This window comes from Homo sapiens, chromosome 9 (genome assembly GCF_000001405.40).
Source record: "Homo sapiens chromosome 9, GRCh38.p14 Primary Assembly".
Taxonomy (NCBI): Eukaryota; Metazoa; Chordata; class Mammalia; order Primates; family Hominidae; genus Homo; species Homo sapiens.
In genome coordinates, this window is record NC_000009.12 from 78,849,145 (window position 1) to 78,859,333 (window position 10,189).

General features: G+C 38.9%; 1 annotated feature.

The window, feature by feature from the left end:
* Nucleotides 7,687–9,054: an enhancer, noted in NCBI's record as "VISTA enhancer hs312". NCBI's record gives its function as "enhancer in: hindbrain (rhombencephalon)[10/13] | midbrain (mesencephalon)[10/13] | forebrain[10/13] | limb[7/13]" and the evidence as "EXISTENCE:transgenic organism evidence [ECO:0001131][PMID:17130149]".

A 10,189-nucleotide genomic window follows, 5' to 3' on the forward strand; every position in this document is an offset into this window, starting at 1 on the left:
CTTGGAGATTTTCCTATTATGTTTTGGTTATTGATTTCTGTTTTGTTTCCACTGTGATCAAAGAACATACTATGTATGATTTCAATTATCTTACATTTGTTGAGGTTTGTTTTGTGGCCCAGGGCATATTCTATCATGGTATATGTTTCATGGGCACTTGAAAAGAATGCATATTCTGTTGTTTTGGGATGCTGGGTTCTATTAGTGTCAATTAGATTCTGTTGGTTGAAGGTGTTGTTGAGTTTCTCTGTATCCTTACTGATTTTCTGTCCAGTTGCTTTATGAATTGTTAAGAGAGGCATGTTAAAATCTCCAACTATAATTGTGGTTTTTTTTTACTGCTCCTTTGACTTTTATCTATTTTTATTTGACATATATTACACCTTTGTTGTTTGGGTGCATAAACATTTAGCATTGTTATGTTTTCCTGATACACTGACCCTTTTTATCATTACTTAATGTTTCTCTGTGTCTCAGGAAATTTTTATTGCTGAGAAGTCTACTTTATCTGATATTAATGTAGTCATGCCTGATTTCCTTTGACTAACGTTTGCATAATATATCTTTTTTAACCTTTTACTTTCATCTTGAATATATCATTATATTAAAAGTGAATTTCCTGAGACAACATATAAATGGGTTATGTTTTTCAATTCACTCTGTCAATCTCTCTCTTTTAATTGTATGTAGACCTTTTACATTTAATATAATTATTGATATGCTAAAGCTTAAGTGTGCCTTATTATTGTTGTTGTAGTTTTCTGCTTGTTCTTGGTGTTTCTTTTTTCTTTTTGCTTGTTTCTCCTCTTTCTGTTTCCTAACTTCTTGTGGTTTATTAAATATATTTTTTAGAATTCCATCCATTTTGATTTATTGATACTGTGTTGGAGTGTACCTTTTGGTATAGTTTTTTGTTTTGTTTTGTGACTGCTCTATGTAGTATGTGATATATATGATTTATCCCTGTCTACTAGTTTTTAACATTTTATTAGTTTGAGTGAAGTGCAGAAGTTTTACCTCCTTTTGTATCCCTTAACTCTCTCATATTTATGATATGATTGTCTTACATTTAAAACCATATTATACAGTATTATCATTTTTGCTTCAGTCATCAAAGATACTTTAGAAAACTCAAGAGGAGATGAAAAGTCTTTTGTATTTACCCATAATGTTTGCTTATTGTGTTCTTTCTTCTTTCCTGACATTCCAAAGTTTCTTGTTGTATCATTTTCTCTCTTTGGAGAACTTCATGTACCTATTCCTATAGGGTTTGCCTAATGATGACAAATTCTCTTAGTTTTTCTTCATCTGAAAGTGTTTTGATTTCTCCTTTATTCCTGAGGGATATTCAATATGGGATTCTGGATTGGCAGTTCTTTTAGCATTTAAAAAATATTTTGCCACTTCCTTCTGGCTTCCATAGCTTCTGATATTGTTCAAAATTTTCTTCTGTAAGTAAGGTATTAATTTTCTCTGGTTGCTTTCAAGATTGTTCCTTAGTCTTTAGTTTTTAGATGTTCAATTATGATGTGTCTTGGCATGGCTTTCTTTTGATTTATCCTGTTTGGATTTGGTAAGCTTCTTGTATCTGTAGATCTGTGTCTCTTCAAAAATTTGAAAAGTTTTAGCTATTATTTCTTTGAGTATATTTTTATCCCTGCCCTCTTTTTCTTATTCTAGAACTTGCTGGCATGAATGTTAGATCTTCTGTTATAACCTCACGGGTGCCTGAGCCTCTGTTCATGTTTTCCTCCAGTCTGCTCTCTCCATTGTTTAGATTGGATAATTTCTCTTTTCTGTCTTCCAATTCAATGATACTCGCTTCTATTTCTTTTATTCTATTCTTCAGCCCATCCATTGAGCTGTTTATTTTGGTTATTTTGTTCCTTAGTTCTAACATTTCCATTTGATTCTTCTTTATATCTTTTAATTTTTTACTAATAGGTTTATCCCTTGGTATTCATGAGGGATTGATTCCAGGACCACCTTCATACACCAATATCTGTGGATGTTTAAAACCGTTATTCAAAATGGTATAGTATTTGCATATAACCTGTGCAAATCCTCCCATGTATTTTAAATCATCTCTAGATTACTTATAATACCTAATACAGTGTAAATGCTACGTAAATAGTTCTTATACTATATTTTTAAACTTGTATTATTTTTATTGTTGTATTTTATATTTTATTGTTTTTTTCCAAATATTTTTGATCTGTGGTTGGTCAAATCTATAGATGCAGCACCCACAGATACACAAGATTTGTTAAGGCTTTCTAATTTTTCTGTTATTTCCTTTTAATTGCTTATTAAAGCATTTTTATAACGACTTCTTTAAAATCTCTGATGATTCTAACATCTCTATCTTCTCAGTGTTGGAATCTATTTTTTTAAATTCAGTTTGAGATCTTCCCGGCACTTGGAATGAGTAGTGATTTTTTTAATGGAAACCTAGATATTTTCATATTACATGATGACACTTTAGATCTTATTTAAGCTTTCTGTTTTAGGTAGCTTTCTCTGACACTGGTATGGCATGGGAAACAGGAACATCACTTTGTTACTTCCAGGTAGAGGTAGAAGTCCAAGTTCCCCACTCAGAGTCTGTTAACACCTGAGGGGTGGGGACGGGGCTTCTTATTTCTTCTAGGTAGGAGTGGGTGTTTTGTCTCCTATGTGGTATTTACAGAGACTGCTGTGAGAGTGGCCCTATTAACAACAGGAGATGGGAAAATATTTAGGTCTCTTCTAGGCCCCCTGTGATACCACCTGAGTGGGGAGGTAGCCATGTGCCTTGTTACTAACAGATGAGGGTTAAAGTCCAGGCACTGAAGGTGGTCTCCACTGTCACCATGGTGGGGATGGGTTGTTACCAGCTGGTAGTGATCAAAGTCTTGACTTTCTGCTTGGCCTCTGAAACTGTCCTAGTAGGGGTGTTAAGGCTTATTGTGAAAGCCTTGCAAGGGTGGTTGTCTTCTCATTTGGCCTTTGTTAGTACAGATGAAAGATGGGACTACAGTTGTTTTTGTTTTTTACCCTGTGATGTTTGGCTGGTATAGAGTAATTATTGTCTCAAAGTTTTCTGTCTTGTTAGGATGTCCCTTTCTTGGTCTTTTGGCTGGAACCAGCAGGTTTTCATTGAGTCTTTCATTTTGTCTGCTTCCTTTGACATTTCTGGGTTGATAGCTTCTTCTGCTTCAAGTCCTGGATATATGGGACAAAGAAAAGCAAACCCAGGGAACTCACCACCATGTTGTTACTCAGGCGCTGAGTAACAGTTTACCTTGTCTCCAACTTTCACAGTCTTCTTATGTTTGTTTTATGTGTAATTTCCAGGGTTTTTAGTTGTGCTTGGTAGAAGATATGGGCCAAAGTATACCTACTATATCTTCCTAGAAGTGAGCATTTCTGAAACTCTGGCAAACATTTTTTTTCATCGTCCTATAGTTCATATAGAATCTTGGACTAATTTTTGAAAAAGTTTTTTTTCAATAATTCTTCCTCATTTATTTTGAAAGCTCAGTGTTTTCAGATGGAAGGATACAGCTTTCTTGAACAATGGTAGTAGTATTGTGATGTACCACCTTCAACTCACAGTTTCCTTAAAAGAGATACCTCTTGATTAAAACCACTGATGAGTGGAGGTGTTGATGTGGTAGAATCAATGTCATGGCCAGCCTAACAGGCTGGGATTAGATCCTGAAATGTATTCAAAGATATTTTTATAAGCATATTTATTGTATTGGTTTCAAAATAATGGAATCTTTAAGTTTCAAGGAACTTTGGCAATTGTCTAACTGGATGTCCCACTTATTTTACATCCTGGGCAGGTGAAGATTCATGTATTGCTTGGACACTTTAGAGTATTCTTTTGTCATCCATATGAGTAACAAGGACCTACAGGAATCAGGTAGGTCAAAGTGGTTAGGTGGGAATAGTTGCAGATTGGTCTGGGATAAAGAATATGCAATGGTAATCCACACACAGGTGAAGACCATGTAATCTAATAGCTATAGATATGATTGGTAATACTTTATACACCGTTTACTATTTTACTATTCAATTATTTGTATGTTACACAATGATTTGTTGGCTAGTGGCCTGAATATACTGTAACTCCGTTCACCAATGTTGCCTACCTTCTTCTTCATATTTTTTAATACTCACAGTTGACGGTAATGAAACATCAAGTATATTACATAGAAACAGCTGGCATACTATATAATTAATTATATGACTTACTGGGGGATAATTCTTGCCAACAGTGACCTGATAGAAAAGTTGAGGACTTTAATGTAATATTAATGTAGTATTAAATAGTCATGCTTGTTTAAATAAGGTGAACAAAAAATGGCATACTAGAATCATTATAAATCAGCCACTACTAAGGAATCTTTGATGGCGTGTATTTTTTTTTTTTTTTTTTGAGACGGAGTCTGGGTCTGTCGCCCAGGCTGGAGTGCAGTGGCGCGATCTCGGCTCACTGCAAGCTCCGCCTCCTGGGTTCATGCCATTCTCCTGTCTCAGCCTCCCGAGTAGCTGGGACTACAGGCGCCTGCCACCACGCCTGGCTAATTTTTTTGGATTTTTAGTAGAGAAGGGGTTTCACTGTGTTAGCCAGGATGGTTTTGATCTCCTGACCTCGTGATCCGCCTGCCTCAGCCTCCCAAAGTGCTGGGATTACAGGCATGAGCCACCATGCCCGGCCTTGATGGCATGTATTTTAAAATATCCTGTGTAACTCTCTCTGAATTGAGGTGAATTAGTGGGTATGTTCAGCTGGACTAGATTAAAATGTAGCGACTGGAGTCTAAGACATAGGTACTATTCTCCGTCTTCTTGACTCCACCTAACTCAGATCTGGAGTCCTGCAACTAAGATTTATTCACTTGAGAGCTCTGCAGGGGTAAACAGAAGACTTTTCCCACTTCTTTTCTTAATATATTTTATGATGAGTGAGATTGGCTGCATGACTCAAAGATGGAAATAGGCAAAAAAAAAGTTATTAGTACTACATGAAATTAAATTATTGTTAGGGTGACTAGGCATACCTCACGGTTCATGGAGACAGTTCCAGTTTACAACTGTTGTCTTGGCAAATTATTAATAGTGTCCTTTCCACTCTCAACGTTCCTGGTTTAGAGAATAAATTTTATGGTCACCCTAGTTATTATACTTTGTTGGTGTGTTTTTTGTGTGTGTTTTGTGTTTGGTTTTGACAGCCACAGATCCCATGAAAAACATTCAACATTTGGATAATGAGACTTATAATGAGCTTCTCATCATTCTAGCACTGATGTGTACCATGAGATGCAAAAAAAAATATCTGCTTTAATCTTTTGGCTGGTATGTGGAATGAGAAGAGTTTGTAAAGCACATTTATAGATGAAGAGTCACTAGAATCTATCTCTCCTACTAACTAAATGAAATGGAAGACAGGCTAATACCAGAATTTATTTACTACCAGTATTCTTAACTAGTTCATTGGTGTCGTTAACCCATTTAACAGTCTACAGAGCCCATGGAGCCCTTTTAAAAATAGAGCTATAAATATACGTAGGAAAATATATAGGACTTCAAAGGAAATCAATTATACCGAAATGCCATTATGAATATTAAAATTGTGTGATATAGTAATAATGTGTGTCCTTCTCTATGTATCTAATAGCAAAATCTAATAGCAACTTTAATAACAGCTATAATTTGAAAGAAGAGATAACATAACATAAAATAACATAAATGATGAGATATCTAGAATAACTGTAATGTGATGTGAGAACACCTGTAGTATGTATTTGTGACAAAGTCACAGATAGTGACAAAGCCAGTGTACTTTGTGGTCTACATTCATAACTGAATGAAATGTTAAATTGCAGCCGGAGAGTAGTGAAAATGAAAATGTATTGCTTTTCTACTCAAATTCTCAGACCCTCTGAATTATGTCAAAGAACCTCTGGGTGGGTGGGGTGTCTATGAGTCTCAGAGTAAGTATCCCTACTCTAAAATAATAGTAACTGAATTTGAGAAACGTAGATCATTTTTTATACATTTTAAAGGCTGTCACAGCAAAACAGCCCAAATAAAGTAGAAGCATGCCTCTCGATAGAGTATATAAAATCAGATAGTGTTATTTAAAAAAAGCTTTTCTTCATATGCATTCAAATTTACAAATTTATGTTTTTATATCACATACATTGCAGCTTATGTAAAATGTCCTCCACTTCTATACAGAGCTATGATCTCAGCAAAAGAAAATATATAAGGCCATCCTCTTTTCATTTTACTCAATGACGCTATTCTTTCCATTTATATCTCATTGGATTCACAAACTTGACAGACCTTCTATTGTCACGTGGTAACAGATTACATCATTCAGCTAATCATTTTGGTCATTTATTGGATCAATGGTTCATAGAGGTTTGTTTATAAACTTATGTATATTTTTCCCCATTCTCAGAGTCAGGGTTACCCCTAGAGTGAATACTAGCCACACTGCTCAGCACTAGAGGGGTATGTTCTCAAGTTCCTGAAGAACCAGAAGTAGCAAGGGTAGATATTCTATGTTACCAAAAGAAGAGAGCCTCTGGTCCACATTAAATGTGGAATTAAAAATGTAAGGCAAAGTATCTGGACGAATGCAATTATAGGTTGGAAAGTGAAGCCTAATGCAGGAACCAGGACAGGCTCCATGCTTGATAACAAATGTGGCTGCAGGTATACAGGGTTCATCATGATTGGTTCCTAAAGACAGTGGTTCCAGGATCCAGTACTATTTCAAGCCAGACTTGTACAAGTCTTTCATATCAGTTTTCTGTATCCAAAATGATCATTAGCAGGTCCATGTTCTTGCCTTTCTCTTTGGAATGTGTTCATTCCTTAATGGGACAGCTGCAGGTGGGTGGGAATTCAGCAAAATAAGTGAAACAACATCAGGATTCCTTCCCATTTGCCTCCCTTTTTCCAAGTCTGCCCTGCTTTTAGGTTTGCTTGTAAATCTGATCCTCTTTGATGCTAGAATGAGACTGGGAAAAATCTGGCCAGGGCATGAACTCTATAACTGTGCATCATTTCAAATGGTTCATCTTCCCTCCCACCCCAGCATAAACAGAAGACATTGTTCACTGCTTTGGCTGCCCAGCCTACCACTGTGAGGTCCGGATACACCTCCAAATTATTCTCTTTGTGGCTAGCCACTCCCTGGTCCAGACCCAGGCTCCATTCCCAGAGAAAAAAGAAAGAAAGTCATTTTGGGGCTCAGGATGTGGAAGTATGAGGATGTGAGAGTGAGTAAGAGCATGAGGGTGGGTACAAAGGCTCGCAGTTAAATCATTGCAATCAGCCATCTCTGCCATGACACACAGCTCCTTTGTAAGTTTCTCCAAAGGCTTCTTATTTGACTGTTCTCCCTCACCACATGCATCAAAAAAAGACAGGAATGACGATAAAAAAGGTGCTATCATAAGGCGTTTCTGCCATAAGTGAAAAGGCAGAGAAATCACCTTGCATATTCTGTGGTGCCAGGAGACGTTGCTTTCAGTAGCCAAGGCAGGAAAAGACGGCAAAGGGGCTGCAGGTAGCACGAGGCCAGGCATATCAGGGGTGAGGAGACATGCTCCTTCTGCCACTGCTGCAGAGAGAGGGAAGGGCCCCACCCAGTGTCTACCTTTTGCTTCCTTGGGCTTGGGGACAATGTGGGAAGGCAAAAGGAGAAGCAAAGTAGTGAAGTGGGGCAGCCCAGAGGGAGGGCTAAAAGCAATTCCCAGCTGCCGATAGATTTCAGTTCATCATTGTTGATTTTGGACTAAAACCTTCTTTCCAGCCAAGCAGGCAAGCAGAAGTGAATTTATCAGATGTGATTTTTATCAGAACCCACCGTATGTGGCGGCCGGCAGTCACCACGGGACCCCGGAGCCTGTGATTGGCTCTGACACATCCGACCGAAAGGGCTCTTATTCCAAGAATGATCTTCTTTTTTAGATGGTATTGAGTTGGGACTGATTTTGATAGCCAGTTTCAGTCAAGAATCATAAAGTTATTGCACATTTAAAACTGTCGGTATGAGAATCATTCTCTCCCTCTTTTCTCTCTCATCATTTCGCTGGGCTGCAAGGTTACAGAAAGGTCTAATCAATTGTCAAACTCTCTTTTATCACCGAGAAGGTGGTAAGAAAAAAAAAAAAAAAAAACACCTCTAACTGCCCTACTGTAGGGGGTTCTTTCACTACACAGCACCCTTTTCCACATACAATGCTGCCGTGATTAATGTCCTCCCACCTCAGACCTTGTTAAAACCTGTTCTCTCAAGCAGCCAGTGGAGCACAGTGAGAGGAGGGCCGAGGTTGCATAAATCAACGTGTTCTCACAGCCCCCAGGATATCCATTATAGATGCCAGCTGGATGGCTGGAAGATAGAGAAAAATGAATATTGTATCCTGTGGCCTTTTGCCTCTAATGACCACTTTTCAACATTTTTGAAGGCATGATTAAATTTTGATAACTGGGGAAGTCACTCTGAGCAGGCTGAAATAGAGATAAATTGACGGAGGGTCTGACATCTCAGTGGAGAGCAGGCAACTAATTAGTGTGTGAAGCGCACTCTGAAAGAGATGTAAAAGGGAGGCAGGTTTAATCAGAGGAGCTGCTGAGGTACAGGAATAGTCAGAGATAATTGCGGCCTAGGTAGAAATCACAGGCTCAATGAGCGGCTTTTTCTGTCTGCTTGATTGGCAGCCGCTGACCTAGTGGCCGGCACCCTTGAACCCTTACAACAGCAACGGCCTTGTCAAAGCAATTTGCTTGCCGCTCTCCGTGACCAGTTATTTCAGCGGCAGAGCTGGGACACCCCGCTGGAGAGGGCACTCCGCTCGCCTGGCTGGCAGGGAGCTGGGCGGAACAGCCTCGTTATTTCTGATGACTTTACTTTTGAACCCAGTCGCCCTTTCTTGCTCCCCAACTCTCCATAGCCCACTCACACAGAGGCGTGCTCCCGGGAGGGACAGCTTCTACAAAGACACAGTGTCAGGGCAATTTGGTTGTTCATTTGAGGAGTGGGGATTTCGGGTCACGAGGTGATGTGCCTATGGGAATTAGGTGGAAGAGGAGGGCCAGGCAGGGCAGAGGCCAAACCACAGGAGGATTGGCTGCTCCTGGCAATGGCTCTCTATAGTTGCCTGTGTTTCATGCCACAGGCAAGCCAGGCAAAGCTCGTGTGGGTACCAGGGTTTTCCCTGATGTATGGGAGCTCAGAGGAGGCCAATTGGACCCTCTTTCTTCTCCCCATCCCAACATCTTTTCCTGACTGGCTAGAAGGAATGTGCCCTCAGGCTAGAGCACAAGTGCATTCATTCCATCTTGTTTGATTAACTATGTGGCATTTTGTTGATTGTAGAGAGTTTTTGGACTTAAAATTGTGGTTAGGGAGATAAGCTTTTCTATCTCTAAAAGCTGCATTAGCAACTAACATATGACTTTTTCCCTTTATTGTATTGTTTTTGGGGAAAATAAGGCTAGATGGAAGGGAGAAAGATTGTAGAGAGATGGGTCAGAAGCAGCCAGGAGACTGGTGTATAGGGTTTGTTCTTTTAAAGAAGGTAAATTAGTGTTTCTGCTCCTCCACCTCTTCCTCCTTCTATACCTGGAGCTTACCTTCTCTTTTTAAACTTATCAGCCACCTGCACCTGGAATAATACCAAAACCTAGAATACCTGATGTGTTTTATGTTTATAGCTATAACTTAAAGTTTAAGAGAAGCCTAAATGTAGCCATACTTTTTTTCTATTTGTTTTGTTTCTTTTTTTAATAATATGGCATTTTCCCCCCATATAAGAATGAGGCCTTGTTACTCATAGGACTTAAGTACATGCTTTCAGTGCCCTGGTCCTTCCATGTTTGCTATGTGGCTTGGCCAAAGGAAGCTTCTGTGGCTTGTACCACATGTATACTACCTGCCTGGTGAAAATGGATATTGCCTCAAATTCTTGCCCATTTCCTTGAACACACCTACTTTCCACTATAGAGTGTGTTCGATGTAGAGGATACACTGTTCTAACTTATGAGGCCTCCTTCCCAAACCCATTGTTCTCAGAGACTGGCTGCTCTAAGTGAAGACTGGGAATATTCTCCAGTTGCCTGGCCTAAGAGTTCCTCGGGAAGCTGAAAGGTTAGGGACATAGGTACCTGTATCCAAAAG